At 36.8% G+C, this 26221-nt stretch overlaps 1 protein-coding gene, 1 long non-coding RNA gene and 1 pseudogene across 45 annotated transcripts in view; 2 read left to right on the forward strand and 1 right to left on the reverse strand.

The window, feature by feature from the left end:
* The window catches only part of PPP1R9A (protein phosphatase 1 regulatory subunit 9A), a 389180-nt gene that overhangs the window by 187063 nt on the left and 175896 nt on the right, over positions 1-26221 (forward strand). For all 43 annotated transcript variants that reach the window (XM_047420574.1, XM_047420585.1, XM_047420580.1 and 40 more), the window contains one exon: positions 16961-17093. In XM_047420574.1, coding sequence (XP_047276530.1) covers positions 16961-17093 — 133 coding nt within the window. The remainder of the gene's footprint in view (positions 1-16960; positions 17094-26221) is intronic.
* PPP1R9A-AS1 (PPP1R9A antisense RNA 1) overlaps positions 1-26221 on the reverse strand; it is a 178641-nt gene that overhangs the window by 58607 nt on the left and 93813 nt on the right. The window contains exon 3 of one of the 2 annotated variants that reach the window (NR_183324.1): positions 14569-14643. The exons of the other annotated variant lie outside the window; for it this stretch is intronic. This is a non-coding gene — a long non-coding RNA (PPP1R9A antisense RNA 1). The remainder of the gene's footprint in view (positions 1-14568; positions 14644-26221) is intronic. 2 annotated transcript variants of the gene reach the window in all.
* RNU4-16P (RNA, U4 small nuclear 16, pseudogene) lies at positions 3929-4069 on the forward strand (annotated as a pseudogene).

Consider the following 26221-nt stretch of genomic DNA (forward strand, 5'->3'; position numbering starts at 1 on the left):
TTCTCCATCTCCATTAGAAAGTAATACTTGCTCATTATACAGAATTTGGAAAGTACAAAAAAGTATACAAAAGAAATGTAAAATCATTCGTAAATTCATTCTCTCTCCTCTGTCACTCTACTCCATCCCGTCTTCCAGTGCTGTTTCCTGACCCACAGTGATGTGATTAGAGCCACGCTTTAGGAATGGCACCTAGATGTGGTGTATCATAAGTTGCAGGATAACTTATTAGGAATCTTAGTGTGCAGAGGGAATAGGAAGGAGTGAGTAGAACAAGAATCCTTTTAAAGATAGAAACAGGCTGGGCATGGTGGCTCACACCTGTAATCCCAGCACTTTGGGAGGCCAAGGCACGTGGATCATTTGAGGTCAGGAGTTTGAGACCAGCCTGGCTAACATGGTGAAATTCTGTCTCTACTAAAAATACAAAAATTAGCCGGGCATGGTGGCATGCGCCTGTAATCCCAGCTACTTGGGAGGCTGAGGCAGGAGAATCGCTTGAACCTGGGAGGCAGAGGTTCCAATGAGCTGAGATCACACCACTGCACTCCAGCCTGGGCGACAGAGGGAGACTGCGTCTCAAAAAAAAAAAAAAAAAAAAAAAAAAGGAACAAAAGGCGATTTTTACTGATTTCATGTGGGTGTGTAGGAGGAGAAGAGGAAGTTTGGTTGTGTGATTGACTGCCCTTTCAAGCCCCTGTGGCCAAAAGGATCCTGTTGTCCTCAAACATGAGAAACCTTACAGAAGACAGAATGGGAGACACTATAATTTTGCTTTGGGGTACTTTAAATCTGAGGTGCTATCAAGTCACCTAACTGGTCCAGAAGTATGAACTGTCTATACAGAATCAGGAACCCAGGTAGGAGGTACAGATGATTGCTGCATTTGATTTTTTGCTTACAGAGCATTCACCTATTTATTTTAATAAAGAAATTACCAGTTTTTCTAGTGTGTTCTTTTATGTGGATGGTTTCTGAGGCTGTGGTGACAACTGATTTAAGAAGCCTATTTACAAAACCATCAGTTCTATTAAAAGATACATGAGGTCAAAGTTAGTGTGATTCAAGGTCAGTGATCCCCAGATTTGACCATTAATCCTATACTAACGGAAGTGATGGCAGCTTTTACTTCAAAAACACTAAGAATAATGAGATAACACTGTCCTCGACATGTTTTAACAAAGATAGTTGATTATCTTGTTTCCTGTAAAGGATTTCCACCCTCTGAGTTTTTCCAATAAGTAAGGGGAACATGAGACAGATACCATTTGTAGATTTAGCTGTATATTGACATTTTCAGTCATGATCCAGAATTGGTCAATTACATATGACTGCAGTTCCTGGAGAAGTCTAAATGGAAGGGACAATCTGTAAGGAAATGGAGTCTTTCCTGCTTTTTCAGGGTAACATGATTATTTTTTAACATGGATCACAGCTGCCCAGAATGCAGTAAAGATTTTTTGTGAGTCTAATCTTAGGTTTACAAGCTCAGCCTTGTACCACAGCATCAGTGTCCTCATGTATATATGCATTCCCTAACAATTAGTTGTTTGTGCTTCAATCTTGTTTTGAAGGTTTTTTTTTCCCACCATGTGATGTCTGGCCTCAGCTTGAAGAGTTTAAAAATTAAGCATATTTTACTCCTGACCTTTACAGAAATTAAAATTTTTGGTTGTACTGTGTAGGTCTCAGTGCTAGAAATGCTTGCTAAAACAGTTTTTTTAAACCTCTATCAGCATTTGAAGCAGTTTGAGATTGTAGAAAATTGTGCAACCTTTGTTTTATTATTTGACTCTTACAGATAGTGCTAAACCTCAAGTATGAATTCTCTTTATATGAGACCAGAACACTGTGGAAATACAGGATTTTAGATAGGCCTTTACAATGCATATATTTTACATAATTTCACCCTAAAAATGTAACATGTATTTGGCAAAGGAAGGGCTTTTGTTGCTGTCATTCTCCCTCATGTGTTCCTCTTGTGCCTGACTGACTCTGCAGGGGGAACTTTAGTTCTCAGGACCTTGGTTTGCTCATGGCCTTCTGAGATTGATGCTGCCTTTCCTCTTTTTGCTCTTGTTGCAAGGACAGTGCAATCATATTCTTGCCTTCCTTCTTCTGTTGCACAAATGACTGGCCCCCCTCACCAGGATCACTTGGAGAAAAATCTCTTAGTATTCTGAGAGGGCCTAGACTCCCACTGAGTCCTCCAAAAGGACTGAAGATAGAGGTTTCCTAGAGCTTCTGGCTCCTCTCTTTCTTTTTAGTGCTGGTTCTCTCTAATCTTCTTTGTAAACTCCCATTCTCTGAAAGACAAATGCTTTTAGGGACTCTGCATGGCATGTGGATTTTACTCACAAAAACTGTGTCCCAGAGCTCCCCTACCTATTTTTCTACCATCTCTTCCTGTTCATTCACTGCTGTATGTAGCCTTGGCCATGTTGGCTTACTTCCTGTCCTGTTATTGGGTTCTTCTGTCTTACTCCTACCTTGCACATGCTACTCTTCTTCTCAGAATGCCTTCCACACATACTACCCCCAACCCGCCTTATGTTTGCTCACGCTAACCATTGCAGGCTGAAGTCTTTGCTTTCGGGGTCACTTGGGAAATCCTTTCTTGCTCACCTCTCTTCCCAGGTAGGTTTAGATGTCTCTACTGTGTGCTCCCATAGCATGGCCCACATCCCTTTATTACGGCCCTTATGTTGGTTACAATGACAGGTCTGAGATTAATAAAGTTTTTATTTTTTTCCTTTTTTTTCCTGTCACCCAGTCTGGAGTGCAGTGGTGCGATCTTGTCTTACTGCAACCGCCTCCCAGATTCAAGCGATTCTCCTGCCTCACCCTCCTGAGTAGCTGGGATTACAGGCACCTGCCACTACGCCCAGCTAATTTTTTTGTATTTTTAGTAGAGAAGGGGTTTCACCATGTTGGCCAGGCTGGTCCTGAACTCCTGATCTCAGGTGATGCGCCCACCTTGGCCTCCCAAATTGCTGTGATTACAGGTGTGAGCCACCGTGTCTAGCCTCATAAGGTATTTTCAATACTGAGCATAGTGCCAACCAGTGAGCTGGTGCTTAATAAGGATTTGAAGTAAGAATCAATGGCTCAAAAGAGAGAGAAAGTATGAAGTGTAATTTCTGTATCTGCAGTCAGCATTCACAGGCTCAGTAGTTTGAGAAACCTGTATTTCCTGCTTTGACTTTTTCACTATTTCTTAAGTGCTACTGTTCTTTTAGTCTCTAAATCAAAACCATTTCACATCGAGATATGATACATACATATGTGTATACGTATGTGTATATTTGAAACCAAAAGTTTTGAAGTACAATATGTCCTCTTACTACTTATAATGAATGCTGATGTTTTTCTATTCTATCCTTTTTAATTTTACTTTTCTCAATGCTCTTCATGACCTATTAGATTGATTCACAACCTCCTTAGGTCACAGTCAGCACTTTGAAAACTACTGCTCTAAATTACTGTACCTTTTCTATGAGGAAGAGTTGAACTGTTGGTGTATCAGTCAGGGTCAACCAAAGAAGCACCGCCAGTAGAAGATAACATTTTAAGAGATTTACCACCAGGAATTGGTTTATGCATATGTTGAGTCTGGCTATGAAGGTCTGAAATCTGTAGGGCAGGCAGTGAAGATGGGAGGCTGGAAGCCTCAAGCATAAGTTGAAGCTGCTGTCACAGGCAGAATTTCTTTTATCGTCAGGAAACTTCAGCTCTGCTCTTCAGGCCTTTCAACTGATTCAGTGAGGCCCACCCAGATTATTTAGGATAATTTCCCTTACTTAAAGTCAACTGATTTTGAACTTTAATCGCATCTACAGAATACCTTCAAAGTGACACTTGGATTGATGTTTGATTAAATAACTGGGAATTGTAGCCTAGTCATGTTGACATATGGAAGGATCACCATAGCTTTGTGCAGTGGCAGTATCACAGCAAATGAGGTTTATCCTAGGCGTGATTATAGCTAATTGAAGACTTTTCCCAATATCCCGCTGTGAGGACTTACAATACAGTCGGCATTAACATTTTTTGGCAGTCTTTATGGAGACTGAATAAAAATAAATAAATAAAAAATAAATGTAAAAAAAAAAAAGACCATCATAGTACTGTGAAGAGCCTGGTCATCATCCTTTTTTATGTAAGGAGTAGGAATCCATTTTAGTTTGCCCACCACTTTATATCACATTCCTTTTTTCCTCTGCACTAATGTTAACCTTCTTAAGATCCTCACCCACTTATTTGGCCTCATCCGTGTTTTGGCATTCTCTTCCACCACCCTGGGTAAATGTATGTACGGTTCCTGGGAGTTTTACAGAGGTCCTTGTGTTGAGAGCCCCTTTCACTTTAGCCCGCAGTTGTTTCTGATGACCTCCTTGAATGAACAGTTAAGTTCCTTTCAAGGCTGTTTCATTCTGTTTCCAGGTAAAATTTGGGGCTTGAGGTACTCTTCCCAAGGTACTCAAGACCTCAGAGTTTAATGTTTGCTTTTCATGATACTCTTTACCCCACTCTCCCTTCCATTCAGAGGTCCAGTCACCCCTGGGGGATTTTCATGGGAGAGTGTAAACTTCTGTACTGGAGAAGCTTAAAAGTCTCACTTTCCATTTTCACGCTCAAGAGAAGCTCTCAAACCCTCTTTGGTGTGCCCGGCATCCCCTTATCCCCATTTCCCCTCTGTAATCTCACCATGTGTGCACACACATACACCTTGTATTGGTCCTCTCCATCTGTTTTCTTATTTAGACAATTTAGACTAATTTTCCTCCATGGGCTTTTAGAAACACAGTGCTGGCAGTTGTAGTAAAAGAAGCAGGAAGGACCAACTGCTGAGACACATGCTAGAACAAAAATTGATTTACTAACTTAACTTGCTGCATCTGTAAAAGAGTGTTTACTTCTTGGAATGAGGAGTAAGTTATTTCATCTAGGAGACTGTCCACTGCCCCCAAATGGTTGCCAATTGGGTTAATTAGTTAAATGTTTCTGTGATGAGGACACCTGTCCAGTGGAAACTGGACCAAGGCCACCAATTTATTTCATGCTGGCCACCAGTTGTCAGTTAGCAAAACATACGTCTCCAGTTTAAAACTCTGGCTGAACTGAAAGAGAACATTGCTAATTTCTCATGGATAGTTCAATTGTTTACAATAAATTGAAAAATACTGAGGAAAACATGAACATCAGTGGAATTTCCCAGTTCTCTGTTAAAAAACTCGCTAATTTAGGTTTAATTGTCTTAGAATTTGTCCAAATTCAGGATGAGCTAAGTTTACATTTATGAAGGATTTTTTTCCCTGATTACTTTAATGGCATAAACTATTTTTACAGGAAGAACTTATTTTTAAGGCTTTTCTAGGCAATACTATACCTTAAAATTTATTAAAAATCAATGAAAAATAATGTATAGTAACCAGTAAGTCATAAATAGAAGATGGAAAAAAGACCAACCATTGCTTGAAAGTATTCAGTCTCACTAGAATAAAAATGAAAATTAAAATAAAAAAATACTTTTCAAGTATTTTAACAACACATATTTGCCAATAAATGGTACCAATTATGATTGAATTCTATGTTGTCAAAAGCAAGAGACTTAATCTTATTTCATTAATATTTCTATATGTGTGACCTTAATAAAACTCTGCTTATCTTGAAATATTATTTCACTAAAAATCTTCATATATATGAAAATTTAACTTTTCATATATGTGTTACATATATATTTTACTTATATATGTGTGTGTATGCATGTGTGTGTATGTGTGTGCATGTATGTATATGTAAAACTTTCCACAAAGTCAACTGTAGCTATTTTAAATTTGAGGAGTCGTGGTGGCTCATGCCTGTAATCCCAGCACTTTCGGAGGCCGAGGTGGGAGGATTGTTTGACCCCGGGAGTTTGAGACCAGCCTGGGCAACATAGCAAGACCCTGTCTCTATTAAAAATAATAATAAATAATTTAAAAATTTAGAGAGTTTGCATCCTCTGTATTTGAGGTGGTTGGTGCTATTGATAATACAAAAATACATACTTGATTTTATCATGGACTTTTGTATATGTTTGAATATGAATATGTTGGGGATACAACAATTTACTCCAAATAATATAAGAAGAATACTATGGAGATATGAATTGAGAGGACTTAGTAAGCAGCGTAAGTTGTGTTTTCCAGTATCTTTACCACATACTTCTGAAGACTATTTTGCTCACGCCTTCTTTTGTCCTTAGATAAGAACTGATTCTGAAAACTATCCCTCTTTGTATTGCATAAGGGAAGAAACACATGAGAGGTAGGTAATATGGAAGATATGATGGATGCCACTATAAGCAGCCATGCCTAGGTTACCACAGCCTTGTGTGAGGAAAAGCTGGGAAGAAGATCTATGACCACCTTGGATGGAAGGTGGTATTCAGTCCCCTTCCTGAGGCCCCTAGGCTTTTGGAACTGGGCTTAGAGCAGAAGAACAGAAAATAGGGCCTTGACTTGAGATTAATGCTTTTGACACATCCCCAGGTTCTTTGTCTGATTTTTTTTTTTTTTTTTTTTTTTTTTGAGACGGAGTCTCGCTCTGTCGCCCAGGCTGGAGTGCAGTGGCGGGATCTCGGCTCACTGCAAGCTCCGCCTCCCGGGTTCACGCCATTCTCCTGCCTCAGCCTCCCGAGTAGCTGGGACTACAGGCGCCCGCTACCACGCCCGGCTAATTTTTTGTATTTTTAGTAGAGACGGGGTTTCACCGTGTTAGCCAGGATGGTCTCGATCTCCTGACCTCGTGATCCGCCCGCCTCGGCCTCCCAAAGTGCTGGGATTACAGGCGTGAGCCACCGCGCCCGGCCTCTTTGTCTGATTTATTGTCATTAATGTTTTCACTTAAAATGAGGTGAAACGTTCTTAGTTATATTAATCTCTTGGCCCCAAATCTTGTGTTTTTAAACCAAGACAGGATCTTTGCAATCCATAGTAATAGTGAGCAAGTGATTCTTTTAGATGGTAGCCTGGTTAACATAGGCTAGTTTATATTGCATTACTAAATGATCCTAATATCTTCTAACAGATGTTTACTTCTCACTGATGTTACATGTCCATGTTAGGTCAAAGGGAAGCTCCTTGTATTCAGTATAGTCACTAAGGTACTTAAACTTGTCCATTTCCATCATACGTACTTTCCAGATTCCAGAAATATAAGAAGAAAAAAACACTGAAAGGTCTTGCCTCCGCAGTAAAATGGCTCAGTCAAGAAGTGACACACACCACCACTGCCCAGAACCCATTGGCGAGAATTATTTACATAGCCCCACCCCAAGGCAACAAAGGGTAAAGAAAGAAAATACCCTTTCTACCCAGAAGGAGAACTGGAAATACTGCTTAGCGGCACTAACATCTTCATAAATAGACTAGTTTACCTTTCTTTGGGCTAGCTCACATGGATTACAGAAGTGAGCTTACTATTTATATGAACAAATATAAATTGACCTTTACTTTCTCTTTTTTTCCCGTAGTTTTGCAAGAAAAAACTTACTTTTATGATTTTTACATGTATTAATCTTTACATTTCCTTTTCCTCCTTTTTGTACATTAACTGCTGAATTCAGAGTTTGAGTCATTATGTGGATTTTTGGTTGTTAAGGAGAGCATCCAGCCTGTTAATGCTCTCAAATGGGGTATCCCTCAGAAACCTCTCCTTGCAAAAGTAGCTTATGGATATTATCTTTTACCTGGGTAGAGGGGTTTCAGCTGCCTTGCTGACCTATATTTAGTGGAGGGCAGTAGACTAAGTGTTTTGGTTTGGCATTTATAATGCCTATTAGATGATTTAGATATGAGAATGAAACTAGCAGAGTGGTAAAATTAACTAAAAGCTTAACTATCTAAAAAACATAATAATATCTTCTAGATAGAAATATGGGTCCCAGATTATCCATTCCTGAAATGCTCTATAGGATTGTGTATTTATGTGGCAATATTAAAAAACGTGGAACAGATAACTTGCTATAAATAAGCCACAACTTAGAATTCATGCTTTTAGTTAACTTACCATCAAATGTAGGTATGAATAGTTGAAGACTTGTCATCAGAGACACATAGTGATAAGAATTTTGATTAGGTTTCAGAGTCGCGATTGACCCTAGAATCCAGCAGCCTCAGTATCATAATCGATCCTACCTTCTTGCACATAAAAGCCTGAGCTCAGAAAGGCCCAGTGAGTTGGCCAAGCCCACAGCGTGTGGCAGCACAAGTTCTCATTGACCGCTGCCTTACATGTGGGCCCCATGCAGTTTCCCCTCAATATTCTTTCCTACTGCAGTCCTAGCTAGGTTGGCTTTTTCTTTTCTAAGCTAGGAGTTTAAGTATGGAAATAATGATATTATCCTTATGAAATGCTTTAACTTGTCAAAAGTGTCTCTGTAACTTGTAGGTGTTGTAAATCTGCGGTCTTATTTCTACTTACTTGTAAGGAAGTCATATTCCTGACTACCTTGTCAAATACCAAAAAGTTCAGTTTTGCAGCCAGAGAATATCCTGTTTGAAAGACTTTGTGATGACTCATTTTATGGGTCAACGTTGGTAGGCCACAGTACCCAGATATGTGGGTAAACATTATTCTAGAGTCTATGAAGTATCTTTTAGATGAGATGAACATTTAAAGCAGTGGGCTAAAGCAGATTACCTTCCTTAACGTGGATTGGCCTCATCAAATTCATTGAAGACCTTCATAGAAGAAGACTGACTTCCATCAGAGAAGAGGGGATTCTGCCAGCAGACTGTCTTTGGACTTGAACTGCAACATTAGTTCTTTCCTGGGTCTCTGGCCTGCAGGCCTACCCTGCAGATTTTGGATTTGCTAGTCCCTACTGTCATATGAGACAATTCCTTAAAATCAATTTTAATATAAATATATATAGTATGTATAAAAAAAACACATATAAAGATATTAATTCTATTTTTCTGGAAAACCTTGACAAACGTAGGCTTCCTTGTGTTGCCGTTTGAACTAGCATGCTCTCTACCTCCCATTATATAGAGTATGTTTGGTTTTTTTTCACTTCTTTTTTTTTTTTTTTTTTGAGACAGTCTCGCTCTGTTGCCCAGGCTGGAGTCTGGAGTGCAGTGGTGCGATCTTGGCTCACTGCAAGCTCCGCCTCCTGGGTTCATGCCATTCTCCCGCCTCAGCCTCCTGAGTAGCTGGGACTACAGGCACCTGCCATCACGCCCAGCTAATTTTTTTGTATTTTTAGTAGAGACGGGGTTTCACCGTGTTAGCCAGGTTGGTCTAGATCTCCTGACCTGGTGATCCGCCTGCCTCGGCCTCCCAAAGTGCTGGGATTACAGGCGTGAGCCCCCACGCCCAGCCCAACTTCTTGTTCTTTAGTAATCCATTAAAACACTAGGCTTACAATTAGTGAAATGTACTTTTTGTCCTAATAGACTTTGTCTTATATATAGCATGTGTATTGTCCTCTGAACTTCTCGTGTAAAAATATGAAAAACCGTGGGAACTCTCTTTACCCTTTTCTGCCTTACTCCCTAGATTGGTTGGTAAAGAGATAATTTGTGTAAAGTGCTATATTGTCTATAATTTAAAGTACTTTGGCATATATAACATAATATTTATGGGAGTAACTTTGTTTTAGGACCCTTTAGTTAATTTTCTAGGTATTTCAATCATGAATCCACACACTAGGATTAGTAAGTTATTATTTGAAAGACACTGATTAGAAGCCTGCACCCAGATATTGGTACTTTAAATCTACACAAGACAATGTATTAACGTTAAGTATGCTACAAATAATTGGTGAAATGAATGATGTTGAAGATACAGGGGTTAGCCTTAGAAATATTTTATGTAACTAGACTTTGGGTCAGGCGAGGCTTGCAGATTAACAGCTTTTGGAGTAATAACCTAACTAGTACTCCATTTGATCCTGTTTTGTGGTATGTAGGATTCTGGTGAGTGATCCACTTAGAAGGTTAAATGTATCCTACTGTAGAATGTAGTTGCAACTGCTTTAAGTAAACCTTTCACACAGGCTACTTTTCAAAATGACTTTTAAGGACAGAAATCTGGGATTTTAGAGTTTTATGAGATAGGCCTATGAGTCTGTTTTTTGCACCTTCCAGTTAAGCAATGTTTTTACATGAGCAGAATTTAGTTTGAAATTTCTTTTCATTGTAACATACTCCTTATGTTAAAAGCTTGCAGAGGAGTAGACTAAAGCCCTCAGCTGTTTACATCTTTGGAGACTACCAGTGTTTACCCTAAATTGTCTGATGATTATAAACTCCAGTTTGGCTTACTTCATTTTGCAGCAAGCACCTAACATACTCCCGGGCACACACTGGACAATCAATACACTAGATAATTCTACCTATTGTCGATCAGTGAACTAACCTTAATTTGGGGGAAGAAAAGGAAAGTTGAGATTATACATTGCTCTAAAGCTATTAGAATCCTCCTTTGTGAGGCTTGCCAGGTTGGTTTTTGGAATGTTAATATGTGGCTATCTTCTCCAGGCTTATTGTTAGTTTCAATTTAGAGCTTATTTTGCAGAGCCACTGAAATCATGTGAAGGTGAGTCAGGGTTCTGCCAAGGAAGCTTGTGATGAGTGTAACCTGTTTGTGGAAGCATGTGAATGTTTGGCTTATCTCCAGGAGCACACTTTGCTAGCCATCATCTGAAACTCAGCATGCTAGGACCTGGAACATTTTTCATCTTTGATGTGTCAGGAAGATTTTACAGAACCTGGACCATAGCCTGAACTGAGACCGTGTGGAAGCATTGTGGGAGATTCCTTCCAGTCAGTATTTATAGAATATGCTGAATTTATTTAGACCTGCATTGATTAAAGAAAATGTGTCATAAAGAAGTGAAGGAAATAAGTTTTTTTCTTATTGTTGAAAATGTATTGCTGCTGTTTTGAAAAAGTGTTGTGGTTCAAACTACTGAAAATGTATATAAGATAATGATTCTAGTTGAAATCTTAAAATAAGCTAATTTTTACTTTATTTGCTTTTCATAGCCTTGGGTTGTTCGTTCAGAAATGTCCTTGCTAACCGTGTTTGTAAACTTGTTACCCCTGAAAGCCTGTCTCTGCTGTGAAGCAGTGGATGAGGTCTTGTTTTGTTTCCTTTGATCGAGAAACCAGAATATCACTTATTGGCTCTGAAACAAGAAGTCTTAAATTTAAACATCTTTTGTTTACTTTTCTCAGTGAAATAAAACAGGAACAATGTGAAGGTAGCTTGAACTACAAAAATACATATATCTTGTTGGTGTTGAACATTAGGACTCAGAATGCTGTTGGCCTTTAGAGTTTTTTGTGTTGCTGGAATACCAGGAGGAGTCATGCTCTGATTATTATCTGATTAATTATCCATTTTTTTGTAGAGCAATTAAGGTTAATAAAAATAATAGAACTATTGTAAGAAAATGGAAAGAATCAAGATCATGTAGATGAAAGGGCTTCCTGGTCAGAGAAAACACAGAAAGCCTGGCAGGCCATGAGCCATTGTGTAATGACAGTGCATTGCTCTAGACATAGGTGGGGATTTTGGCAGCCTAATCTATGTTCTAATACTAAGTCAGTTATGCAGATTTTTGCTTAAAGGGCATTAAACATCCTAGTGGGTGATATATTCAAAACATGTTTATGAAAGAGAGTATGAGGCTGGGCTCATGCCTATAATCCCAGTACTTTGGGAGACCAAGGTGGAAGGATCGTTTGAGGCCAAGAGATCAAGACCAGCCTGTGCAATATGGTGAGACCCCAATCTCTATTAAAAATGTTTTTAAATTTAATTTAAAAAAAGAGAGTATGATATGGGTAGTAGGTATCAGGGGAAATATTATCCCTCATATTACCCTGAGAAAGCTTTTCCTCTCCCCTCATTGAACCAAGCATAATTACATGGACTATTTCATTTTATTTTCCTAATACTCTTATGGGGATAGGCATTATTATAAAAACCATTTTGTAAATAAGGAGACTGCGCCTTAGCATGGTTTTACAACTTGGCAAGTGCTACATAGCTAGGGAATTTAGGGGGCTTTAAATTAGGTTAAAATTGGGACCATACCAATTGGGGATCGTATGAATTGGGAATATCTTTCTCTTTATCTGCAGCATGCTCTTCAGCTTAACGATGTATGTATCTTGGGGTCTTCCATGTCAGTAGAGAGATATACATCTCTTCAATCACTGCATTGAATTACATATTTGTATATATCATGATTTAGCAAGCCATTTTCTCTACTGGTGGACAATTAGGCAATTTCCTGCTTTGGGCTATTACAGATAGTGCTGTAATGAACTTCTTTTGAAATACATCTTTGTACACATTTGCAAGTATTTCTGTAAACACTTAAATGTGACATGATTATGTAAAAGACATTTACATTTAAAATATTGATAACTACTTTCTAGTTATGCTTTCCTCTTCAAAAGTATCCTTTTTTTCTATATCCTCACAAACACTGGATGTTGTAGTCTTTTTTTTGTTTGTTTTTTTGAGTCTTATTATGTCACCCAGGCTTGAGTGCAATGGCATGATTTTAGCTCACTGCAACCTCTGCCTCCCAGGTTCAAGCAATTCTGCCACAGCCTCCCGAGGTGCACGCCACCACGCCCAGTTAATTGTTGTATTTTTAGTAGAGATGGGGTTTCGCCATGTTGGCCAGACTGGTTTCAAGCCCCTGACCTCAAGTGATCGGCCCTCCTAGATCTCACAAAATGCTGGGATTACAGGCATGAGCCACTGTGTCCTGCCTGGATGTGGTAGTCTTTAAAAAAAATCTATTCTTATGGATGAATGCATAGTATCTCCTTGTTTTAATTTGCATTTGCTTAATTTTTAATAAAGCTGAACATCTTTATATCATTAATTGGACATTAGTATTTCTTCTTTGTTCAATTCTCAATTTCCTTTACCTACTTATACATGCAATTGTTTGAGTTGATAAAGCCCTTTATATATTAGGAATATTCATGTTTCATCTTAATATTTGGTCATACTTTCTGCTAATCTGTGACTTTTCTTCTAACTTCATTATGGTATATTTTATTGCCTAGAAGTTTTTGGGCTTTATTTTTAATCAAATTATTTATTTCCTTTAGAACTTCTAGGATCTGTGAATTTCTTTCTAACCTGTTAGCTAAACATTGTCCCAAATTTTCTTTTGGCACTTTTTATATATGTATATATTTTTGTTCTGAATTGTATTTTTCTTTGTGATATAAATAGGAATGTTTTTCAGATAGGTATCTAATTCTTTTCATAATTTATTAAATAGACCACTCTAATTTGAATAGAAAAGGAGTGGAACAGAATAGAATATAAAAATGGATCTATCCCAGAGCTCAAACTATATTGCCTTAATAAGCGAAGTTTTATTATGTGTTTTGATATCCACTAGGGCCTGATTCTACCCTTATTCTTTTTCAAACTGCTTGTTAGTTTTCACGAAAAATGTAGGTAGGATTTTATTTTTTATTGTCTTGAATTCATAAATTAACTTAGGGTAAACTGATATTTACAGTTATTTAGAAATGTGGATGTCTTTATAATATTAAGGATTTTAATCCAGGGAAATAATATGGCATTGCACTTTCTTCAGGGCTTTTTGTACTCATCACTTAGTTTTATAGAGAGAAAAATGCTTGTACATTTATGGTTGGTAATTACTAAGTGTTTTATTGTTTTGATCATTTTGTTGTATTTTCTAAGTTTTTGTATATAGGTATTGAGTTTTAAAAGTTACATCGCTTTACTGAACTCTTATTAGTTCTAATACTTTTTCTGTTAAAGCTCTTGGATTTTCCAAGTAATCAGTTGTTTAATCTGCAAATAACGACTTCTGGCTTTTCTTTTTCAATAATTTGCAGTGTTTTCTGCATGCCTACTTAATTTACAAGCCTATAAGTAAGCTGAAGATGAAGAGTGTATTACATTATTTTCTTTTTCTTTTTCTTTTCTTTTCTTTTTCGTTTCTTTTCTTTTTTTTTTTTTTTTTTTTTTTTTTGAGACAGTCTCGCTCTGTCACCCAGGCTGGAGTGCAGTGGCGCGGGAGCTCACTGCAATCTCCGCCTCCTGGGTTCATGCCATTCTCCTGCTTCAGCCTCCCTAGTAGCTGGGACTACAGGTGCCTGCCACCACACCCGGCTAATTTTTTGTATTTTTAGTGGAGATGGGGTTTCACCGTGTTAGCGAGGACAGTCTGGATCTCCTGACCTCATGATCTGCCCACCTCGGCCTCCCAAAATGCTGAGATTAAAGAATGAAATGGTGGCATAGTCATCTGATTGCTAGATGTCTCAAAAATTATACACAGTATCATTTTCCAATATGCAGTCTTACTGTTTTAGGTTTGTTTTATTTAATTTCAGAATACTCTCAAATGAACTTTATAAACTAGCCCGAATAGGGAAGAACATTCTGATATCAGAGTGTTTGGGATCCTGAAAAAAAAAATGTTGGGAAGGAGTTATTTATTTGAAACAGTTATTTCATACTTACTTTATATATAGACACACGCATACATATTTATTTACTTACTAGTATTAGTGAAATTGAGTGATGTTCCAGAATGAATACTGTTTAAACCATTGTTTTGCAGTCATAAACCGGGACCTATTAGCAGAAGTAGAGAAGTGGTAAATATTAATGAATAATTTCCAGTCATATCTGCCAGTGATTTCCGGGACGCATGAGACCCAGGCCCAGCTAACTGTTATTTTGTGTGTAAAGCTTGCTTCTATAGGCATTTTCCATTGCAGTACACTCAACTATCAATGTTTTCCAAAAAACTATAGATATGTGTATGTGTGTGTATATATATTTTGGTCTAGGGTCTTATATTTGAAATATATATTCCTTCTCTTCTGCAGTCAAATATGTGAATTTCTGTTTATTCTTCAAGACTCAGGTCAAATATCTTTGCCTTCACAACTTCTTTACCTTCTCAGGAAAATAAAAACAAAATAGTTGGTATATGCTGCTTTTATATCAGTTACCACATTATTTTGTAGGTGCTTATTTTGATTTCTGTGTCCTTCCTAAACTGTAAGCTACTAGAAACTATTCCTTCTCCAGTGCCTAGCACAATGTCAAACATGAGTTTAGAACTGTAAAATATTGTTGAATGAATAAATGTGAATAAGTGATTACTAAAAATATAAGAGGAAGTGAAGGATCAAAAGAGCTGTCTAAGAGAAAGTTGTAAGTATGACAATGTAAGAAGAATATTAGGCCAGGCATAGTAGCTTAAGCTGGTAATCCCAGCACTTTGGGAGGCCAAGATGGGAGGATTGCTTGAGCCTGGGAATTCAAGACCAGCATGGGCAATATAGTGAGACCTCGCCTCTAAAAAAAAATTTTTTTTAATTAGCTGAGTGTGATGGCATGTGCCTGTAATCCTAGCTACTCAGGAGGCTACAGTGGGAGAATTACTTGAGCTCAGAAAGCAGAAGCTACAGTGAGCCTACTACTGCACTCCAGCTTGGAGTGCAGAGCAAGACCCTATCTCAATGAAAAAAAAAAGAAGAAGAAAAGAAAAAGAAAAATATTAGCATGGGAAACATGCTAATATTTATGAATATTATGAAAAGATAAATAAAAGCACTAACCCTATACTATGGAAATGTGCATTTTGATGCAGTAAGGTTTACTATGGTGAAGAAACATGGTAGAGACCAAATAGGGATCCAAGTGGCATGAGGCTATGAAAACATGTTGAAAGTCAAGAAGAAAACAGTACCCACTCAGGTACAAATCCTACAAATGATACTATTTAAGAAGCATGTACCATTAGGAGCTACATTATATCTGCTTCTATATATGCGTATGTATTTTTGGTTTATAGGTTACCATATATAGAATATAGGAATTACTTGTTTTCCAATAATACAAATGTAAAGTGTCCATAGAACAGCAGGGCCAGCTTTGTAGGAAATAGACATGATTTCTTTAGTCTTTGGCCTTCTTTTCTGCCTTCTGTTTCTACTGCATCTTTTTATAAATATTATTTTAAAATCTAATCCTAGATTTTATGATTTTTGGGGGAGCACAGTTTCTTTAGGCACAGTTTAGATGCATAATAATTATTGAATTTTATTGAAAATGCCAGTGTCTGTTATGTATATTAATTGGACTTGATGAATTATACATTTATTTCTTTCATATATTTTTTCCTGTATTAAGAGAGGGATTGGACAACTACTTCAGTTCCTTTTAAGATAAACATTTCAGCAGAAATAAGGACAATCAAGTTTCTTATGGCTATATCTGAAGGCCACATTTAGTTGTCTTTTAAATGATGTAGGTAAGAAATAAACAGCTTCAATATCCTGTTTGCTGTACAGCCCTTTAGCGATATTTTCATAATAATTTCATAAAAGTTTCAATGAGAATTCAATTTAAATGTATATGCAAGTAAAATGAGGGATGACAAACAAGAGCCCAGGACAGTGTTAGAATGGAGGTCAGGTTCAGTGATCTTATGATTGAGACAGCATTATAATACTGACACCCTGCTACTTCAGGGCTAGTATAGGTCATACCATGAAACAGGTTCAGTGTAGGTATTTGCTTAGGTAGCTTCAAGATGGTTTACCTTAGTTTTATTGGGAAACAGCAGAGCGTTCCAGCTAATATGATTCATTCTGATTCTATAAAAGGCGATAAATATTGCTATTCACATAATGTGTTCTGAGGCTACTTTGTCTCTTAAATGATTAAAAGTGGTACTATCGCTTACACATTTTAAAAATTAGTAAGTTACTTTTATACTGACTCAATTTTCCTTTTCTTAACATCTCAATTGATTTTAAAGACAAAACAGTTGTTTAGAAGAAATTCATCACATGAATGTTTAAACTTACATAGTTTTGGATACCTGGCAGGTTTTTTTTTTTTTCTGTATTATCATCTTGTTGGCCTCTTACTACAGGTTTTCAACACATACTCCAATGAAGACTATGACAGGAGAAATGACGAAGTTGACCCTGTGGCTGCTTCAGCTGAGTATGAACTTGAAAAACGTGTAGAAAAGCTGGAACTTTTCCCAGTGGAGCTAGAGAAAGGTTCGTGAGTGCTACAGTGTTAATATCATTATGTTGCTATGTTAATAATACAGAATTATTTTTCCAAAATGTAGCCTTTTTTCTAAGGATTGGATAAAATTTTAATTCTAACAGAGGATCTTATTTATTAAGTTTCAAAAATAGTTGATATGGATTCTGAGTAGATGGTGGATTGAAAGTTTTACTCCCAACTGAAACCCATCTATCTTAGCTGGCTGCGATGGTGGTTAGGATCAGGGAGGTATAAGTGAGGCCTAATGCTTTGTTGGTATTCCTGGAAAGGGCTGCTACAGCTGAGAGCCCAGAAAGAGCTGGTATATGAGAGCTTGGGGCAGATGGTCGCTTTCTTTTGTTTTGGTGGATAATTGGAAAATTATGGAGATTTTTAATAAAGGCGGTAGAATCCAAGGAAATTTAAATAGTAGGGCTACATCCTCTCCCCCTCTGAGGGGAGAAGGTTGAAAGAGAGCAGGGAGAAGAGGGAGCAGAAAGGCTTCCTTCTGATTTCTCTCCCAGGAATGACACCCTGCCTACTGTAGTAACTGCTGACCCGTGGGATCAGAGATTACCAGGTAAGATGTAAGATGGGCACCCAAGAACTGAACTGTCACTCAGTGAACAGAGAAATAACACCTCTGAGAGAGCTTTGAAAAAAAAAAGAGTAGAACAAACAGATGATGACTTGAATAACAAGAAAAAAAGAAACAAAAACCTACCCAAGGATACTCAAGCATGGCTTAAAAAAAGACATTTGCAAATTATGCCTCTAACAAAGGACTAATATTCAGAATCTATGTGGAACTCAAATACTCAACAACAACAACAACAAAAAGAAAGAAACCCATTAATAAGTGGGCAAAGGACACGAACAGGTATTTCTTAAAAGAAGACTTACAAGCAGTCAACAAACATGAAAAAACACTCCACATCACTAATCATCAGAGAAATGGAAATCAAAACCACAATGAGACACCATCTCACACCAGTCAGAACAGCTATTATTAATAAGTCAAAAACAGCAGATGTTAGCAAGGATGCAGAGAAAAGAAAATGGTTAGATACTGTTGGGGGAAATGTAAATCAGTACAATCTCTGGAAAACAGTGTGGAGATTTCTCAAATAATTGAACATAGAACTATCATTTGACCAAGCACTCCCACTACTGAATATCTCCCCAAAGGAAAAGAAATGGTATCAAAAAGAGACTTGTGCTTGTATGTTTAACAGAATACTATCCAATGGAAATAGTCTTGGAAATAGCAAAGTCATGGAATCAACCTAAGTATTCATCAATAGATGACTGGATAAAGAAAATGGGGCATGTATACACTATGGACTACTGTGCAGCTATAAGAAAGAATGAAATCATGTCTTTTGCAGCAACATGGTTGGAGCTGGAGGCCATTATCCCTACATGAAATAACTCAGAAACACAGAGTTATTTGCTGCATGTTCTCACTTATAAGTGAGAGCTAAACAGTGGGTACACATCAACATACAGAGCAGAGTAATAGACACTGGGGACTCCAAAAGTTTACGAGGGTGGGAGGGGGATGGGGCTTGACAAATAACCACTTGCGCACAATGCGAACTATTCAGGTAAAGGTTACACTAAAAGCCCAGACTCACCACTATGTAATATATCCATATAGCACACCTGCACATGTACTCCCCTGAATTTATACAGATTTAAAAAAAGACGTTCTTGAGCAACTTAGCAACAAGAACAAATTTCTTGATTTTGAAATGAAAAATTTCACCGGAAGAATTGAAAAGGATAGTTATTGTTGAGACTTAAGTTGGCGATCTAGAAGATGACGTTTGAGAGATATTCCAAAAAGAATTCTCAAATGACAGAGCAAAAATCCAAGAAAAATCATGAAAGAGTCCCAATATATAAGTTGTAGGCAACAGAAGAGAAAAACGACAATGGAGAAGGACAGACTAATAATAATCATAGAAGAAAAATTTCTTGTCCTTAAAAAGAAGATCTGAGGCTTATATTAGGAAGAACTTATCCATTTATGAGTGAGAGGGCTAAATAACCCCAAACTGATCCCACACTTAGGCATAGCCTGGGAAAAAATCCTAATATTCAAAGATAAAGTGAAAGAGCTTAAAAAATTCCAGGCCAAAAAATACCCAACCAAACAAACAAGCAAATATACTTGCAAAGGCAAAATAATTAGACTAGCATCAGACTGTAACACTAGAAGCAGGGAGATGTAGAAATAATTTTACATGCCACTGAGGGTAAAAAGGATGGTGATCCAAGAATCCCATATCCATCCCAGAAAGCATTTACCTATCCTGGTGAAAGAAAGACATCTGCTGCTATCTAAGGATTTAAAGAACACATTGCCTACATACTTTATCTGAGTAATTCACTGTCCAATTTAGCAGGGAGGGAGTGAAACAAAGAGCAGCTTGTTCAAAACAGCAAGGGCAAGGAAAAAAGAGGTGAAAACTATGAAGTATTAAACATACAATTGCTTAAATGAAAAAGTATGAAGAATACTAGTCATATTACACCAAACATGACTGATGGATTACTCCTGTTAAAAGACACTTTCATTTGGAGTTAAAGTGAATTAAAGAGTAATGCTTACATTTTTCATACATTTTAAAACATAAAAGCCATTCTTAGTTCATTGGCCATACAAACACAGCTGGGCCATCATATTACTTATTTTGGTAGTAGCAAAAAAACAAGACCAATCCAAATATTCATCAATGGTAGAAAGGGTCTATAAATTGTAGCATATCTAGGCAATAAAATATTACTCAGCAGCGAAAATGGAGGTGCCACACTTCATGCAGCAGTATGTATGATTCTTAACATGATATCGAGGGAAAGTAAAAATAGCAAACCACAGAAGAAACCATTTAGTGTAATATAATTGCATTTACTTACATTTCAAACCAAAAAAATTAAATAGCATATTGTTTTGGGATACACAAATGAGTAGTTTTTAAAAAGTAGTATTAAAAAGTAGGGAATGATTAACACAATGTTTAGTATAATGGTCACTGAGGAAAGAGTTGCTGTGTCAGGGAGGGATATATAGTGGCTTTTGTGATGTCGGTAATATTCTGTGTCTTTGTACATGGATGTTTGTTTTATTTTTATGCTTTAAACATAATGTTTTGTAGATAAATATTAAACTCATTTGTATGTTGCCATATTTCATACTAAAAATTAAACTAGAAGGTAACCAAATCAAATACAATTATTGGAGATTTCAATATATTTCTTTCAGAACTGGACAGATTTATGGACAGAAAACAAAAATCAAGGAGTGGGTTAATATAATGAACTCTATTTCAAGCTGTATTTTAAAAGAAAAAGTTTTATCCTTTGGAAAAATGTTAAAGGTTCCTTTAATATGAGAATTTGGAAATTACATAATACATTCCTAGGTAGATGTTTGATTGAAGAGAAAATTATAACTCATATCCCAAACCATCGTGGAAAGGATTAAACTTAAAAAGTCCGTCTCAAAAAAAAAAAAAAAAAGTCTGTAGCACACAGCAAAACCTTTACTCAGAGGAAAAGCTATATCCTTGATTTCTTTCTTTAAAATAAAAAACTTGAAAAGCAAAAAATGGACCTGTCTTAGAAATCAGGAAAAGTAAACCAAATAAATCAAACAAACTAGCAAGGAAGAGTAGTATATGTAAAAACACTATTAATAACATAGAAAAGAAAATCTAGTAAAATAAGGTAATACAAATCCTTTTCATTGAATACATCTATAAAATATATCAATCATAATACTGAGTGGAGAAAATTGAAAGTAAACTTATGCAAATTAGGAATGGAAGAAAAATATATAGTGTTACTATAAAAGATCAGTCAGTCACTGCATTTCTTTGTCAAATGAGGTGAATGCCCAGAAATAATTTATGTCCTAACAAAATTTGAATTACCAGAATCAACTTTAGTAAAATAGACTAATTGCTATAGAAGAAACTAGAATGATAACTACAGATAAAACATTAAAATGTCATCACAACCAGATGATTCTATTGTACCTTTAAAGAATGCATAAAGCCAGTGTTAAACTATTTTAGATCATAGATAATAAAGGAAAACTCTTCATTTCATTGAAATACCATATAAGTTTATACCCAAAACTAATATGCTACAAAAAAGATTGCTATAATACAACTACAATTGTGAATATATATTTTAAAATGCTAAATGAAATAAAATATCAAATATAGAAATAGTTGAAGAGAAAAGGCCAGGTGCGGTGGCTCATGTCTATAATCCCAGCACTTTGGGAGGCTGAGATGGGCGGATCACGAAATCAGGAGGCTGAGACCATCCTGGCTAACACATGAAACCTCATCTCTACTAAAAATAAAAAAAATTAGCCCGGCGTGGTGGCACGTGCCTGTAGTCCCAGCTACTCAGGAGGCTGAGGCAGAAGAATTGCTTGAACCTGGGAGGTGGAGGTTGCAGTGAGCCGAGACCACACCACTGCACTCCAGCCTGGGTGACAGAACAAGACTCTGTCTCAAAAAAAAAAAAAAAAAGAAAGAAAGACTCATTAGGATCAAATGGAGTTTTAGATACAAGGATATAGAGTGGTTCATTATTCAAAGATTCATCCACATACAATTTAAAGGAAAAGCCCTTAAATTTTTTAAATTTCATGTCAAATTGGTATGAAAAGATGTCAATTTGGTAACATTTACCACTTTAAAGAAAGACTGTAAATTAACACATGATGGAAGCTGCCTAAATTTATGCAAACTATAAATTTACAATACCTACAGAGAATTCTAATTCTAAATTGAGTAAACACTAAAGATATTTTAATTAAAACCAGAAATCAAATTTGTAATGCCCTTTAAATGAAATGACCAGTATAAATAACAGCAAATAAAAGATGAAAAGCATCATCTTTTGCTGATATATTCATATCCATATCTATCTAGAAAACCAAATTGATTCAATATTAGATTTGGTAAAATAATTTGTGGAGGAAGAGGTTACATTCAAGATATGTATAAAAATCAATTTTTTCTATGTAATCACATTAAGAATTTAGAAATGAAAATGGGAAAAATATTTTATTTACAGTAGCACCAAAACAACAAAATATTTATTACTAAGAAAAACATGAAATTTATCTAGATAAAATAATAACATCTTTTTGAAAGTCATTTCTATTTGAAAGCAAATTGAAAGACAAACCATATTCTTGGACAAGAAGGCTCCAAATAGAACTGCCAACAAAGTTGGGTTGGGAGAGGAGAATTGCAAAAAACAGTATTAAATTTTTTTGGTAAAATTTAAGTCTGGAGAAATACAGACTTAAGTATGAAAAGGAATATGAATGACTTAATTTTCCAAATATCTAAATATAATGTAAAGCTTTTGTAATCAGAACAAATTGTATTCAAATGGCAATTGATCAGTGGAACAAAATAGAAAATCCAGAAAAAGATGTTAGTATGTGTGAGAATTTAATATATGACACACATGATATTTCAGCTTAGAAGTAATTATGTGCTTTATAAATTGTTCTGGCATAACTGAGAATCTATCTAGAAGAATCTAAAGTTGGATACCTTCATTACAGCATAGGTAAAAATAAATAACTCTACATGGGTTAAATAATAACATATTAAAGATGTTGTAAAGAAAATTTAAATGACTGCATATATCATCTAGGCTTGTGGCAGGAGAGTCTTAACCAAAATGGGAAACCAGAAGTTAGAAAATAAGCTTTGGGCTCCATAGTATGACAATAGTGTCTTCCATAATAACATAGTCCCTCTGTCTTTGCCGTCATTTTATGGCTGTTTTGCCTTGGTGCTTTGCCTGTCCCTAGGAATGTATGGAGAGGAAGACAGGGTGCAGCTGGGTTCTCGATGGGTCAGCCACAGGAATAATAAGTGGCCTTTAAGGATGAGGTTCCAGACTTCACTCAGAGAAAGCTGTATGTAAATAAGATGCTGGAGAACATCAGTCTTCTGGTCTCTGTGCGTTGATTGTGCTCTTTCTTGTATTGCCCTTCAGTCATCATGTTGTCCTTGTAAGTAATTTGCATTAGAATTGAGGATGGCTTGAGTTAATATTGCTTTTTCTGCAACTGGATTTTCAGCTCTGCAAATCTGAGTAATTTTCCAGTTAAAAGCAATGAGAGGAGCAATGGAAGGAAGAAAGAGAATTCTACCAAGACCTGAGTCTAGGCAGAGAAAATGGATTTAGAAACCAAGAAGTAATTTTCACTCAAGATAGTTGCAGGAAGAAATTATTTAATGGTGTGACAGTATGGAGATTTCACATTTGAGAGGAGCCTTTTGTACGGTAATGAGTATGGGAAAGTTTGACTCACAGCTCTACATTGGCTTGACATGTGATAAGTTATACTGAAGAGAAACCCTGTGAGTATAATGAAAGTGAGCAAGAATTCAGCCAGAATACTAATACATATATACACCAGAGATTTCATACAGGAGAGAAATTCTATGGTATTTTTCTGCATGGAAGAGGCTACATTGATCATCTCTTAAACAACACAAGAGCAATACACTAAGGGGAAAAACTTACATGGATGTAAACACTATGGGAAGGCTTTCAGCAATCATTCATCCTTCATCAGTGTGAAAAAAAATTCATTTTCTTGAGAAACCCTATGAATGTGACGAATGTCAATAAGAATTCAGCTATCCGCTAACCTTATACACACAAGAGAATTCATGGTGGGAGAGAGAAAAACCCTATGCATGTAACCAGTGTGGGAGAGCCTTCAGCACACATCTAACCTTCATGTACACAACAAATCTCTGTGTACGAAGATTTTAAAGTTTCTGTGGCGAAACTTTAAAACTATAATGAATGTAGAAAATCTTTAACAAGATAAATCCTCTTGATGAAATCAGTCTTTATACCAGAGAAACAATTTGAATAAATAGGAGAAATCACATGTATATAAACTTAATAAATGTAATGAATGAGGAAAGTCTTCAGAGATTATTTATGTTAGTCAGCATTAAAGTTTTCACACTAAAGAGACACCTATGCTTAGAATCAATGTGGAAGTGCCTTCAGCTGGGGTTTGCATCAGGCAGCTCATCCAGGGGAAACACTGTAAAGATTCCTCTAGCATACCACTGAGCAAACAAATCACACTTTTGCCAAGTGACATCTTTTAAAACATATGTAGAATAAAGATATAAGATTGTCAGGTGTACTTGGAAATACTTCAGGCATAAGTTGGTTATAAGTAGTAATGTATGAGATAAACCTTCATCCGAAGAATACTAATTACAAGAATCCTGGCCAGGCCTGGTGACTCATATCCATAATACCAGCACTTTGGGAGGCTGAGGCAGGAGATTGCTTGAGCCCAGGAGGTTGAGACCAGCCTGGGCAACATGGTGAAACCCTGTCTGTACAAAAAAAAAAAAAAAAACACAAAAAATTACCCAGATGTGGTGGCACATGGCTATAGTTCCAGCACCTCGGAGGCTGAGGTGGGAGGATCACCAGAACCCAGGAGGTTGAGGCTGCAGTGAGCCATGATGGCGCCACTGCACTCCAGCCTGATCAACAGAGTGAGACCTTGTCTCAAACAAAAAAAAAAAAAGAAGAAGAAGAAAGAAAAACAGAAAAAATGCTTAAGAAAGTGAAGGTTATTGCTGAAAAGTCTTTTAAAAGTGTCATTCTGTTGAGTATATGGACCAATATTTCTTTAATAATCCATCACTGTTGATTAGTTAGTATTTTTATGCTGCTAGTAAAGCATGATTACAAAGACTTTGAGGCTATCAGAAAATAACCTTGAACTTTAACTAAAACATGTGGCACGCAAAATAGTGTATCTTTTATATATTCACAGAAAGGACAAATGGAAATATGGATAAACGTGATTTGTAAGTGAATTAAAAAAAAAAGTCACACAGTATTGTTCATAGGACCAGTAAAATGGAAATAAAAATGTGAATACAGAATGGTTGGATACATTATGATACCATCTCACCATGAAATATTATTCAGTCATTAGAAATAATTTAGAGATATGGACATTGAGGACATTGATATCCATGACTTATCTTTTTTTTAGACAGGGTCTCGCAGTGTTGCCCATGGTGGAGCACTGTGGCATGATCTCAGCTCACTGCAACATCTGCCTCCCAGACTCAGGTGATCCTCCCACGTCAGCCCCCAAACAGCTGGGACTACAGGTGTGCCCCACCATGCCCAGCTAATTTTTCTATTTGTAGTAGAGACAGGGTTTCACCCTGTTGCCCAGGCTTGTCTTGAACTCCTGGGCTCAAGGGATTCTCCCACCTCAGCCTCCCAAAGTGATGGGATTACAGACGTGAGCCACTGTGCCCAGGCGCTTCATTGGTTTTTAAAAAGTAAGCAGTAAAGAGAAGTAGGTATAATCTCATTTGTGTAAGCAAATAAGAAGGAAAAACAAGCTATATATACATATATATACATTCATATATGTCTAAGTATATGTATATATTATAGTTGTTGATGAGTATATATTCTTGGGTATAGAAGCACAGAGGAAAGTACTCAAATATACTATCTTTTTTTTTTTTTTTTTTTTTGAGATGGAGTCTCGCTTTGTCACCCAGGGTGGAGTGCAATGGCACAATCTTGGCTCACTGCAACCTCCGCCTCCTGGGTTCAAACGATTCTCCTGCCTCAACCTCCCAAGTAGCTGGGACTACAAGTGCCTGCCCCCACACCCGGCTAACTTTTTGTATTTTTAGTAGAGACAGGCTTTCACCATGTTGCCAGGCTGGTCTTGAACTCCTGGCCTCAAGCCATCCACCTGCCTCAGCCTCCCAAAGTTCTGGGATTGCTAGCATGAGCCACCATGCCCAGCCACATGTACTATCTTATTAACATGAATAAACAAGTAAAGAAGAAAAGACCATATAAATGAAGGAGGAATTCCAGATATGTTATGATCAGATTTATTTAAAATTATATGTTTGAATATGTGTACTCTTACGCCTAAAATAATTCATTGCATTATTTAGAGAATCTAGGTTTTAAGGCAGAGTGACTATTCAATAATCAAGTTGTTACCTTTTCTTGAGACCACAGTGAATTACCAACAGTAGTAGTAAAATGATGCTAAATGCAT

Source organism: Homo sapiens, chromosome 7 (assembly GCF_000001405.40).
Source record: "Homo sapiens chromosome 7, GRCh38.p14 Primary Assembly".
In the NCBI taxonomy this organism is placed as follows: Eukaryota; Metazoa; Chordata; class Mammalia; order Primates; family Hominidae; genus Homo; species Homo sapiens.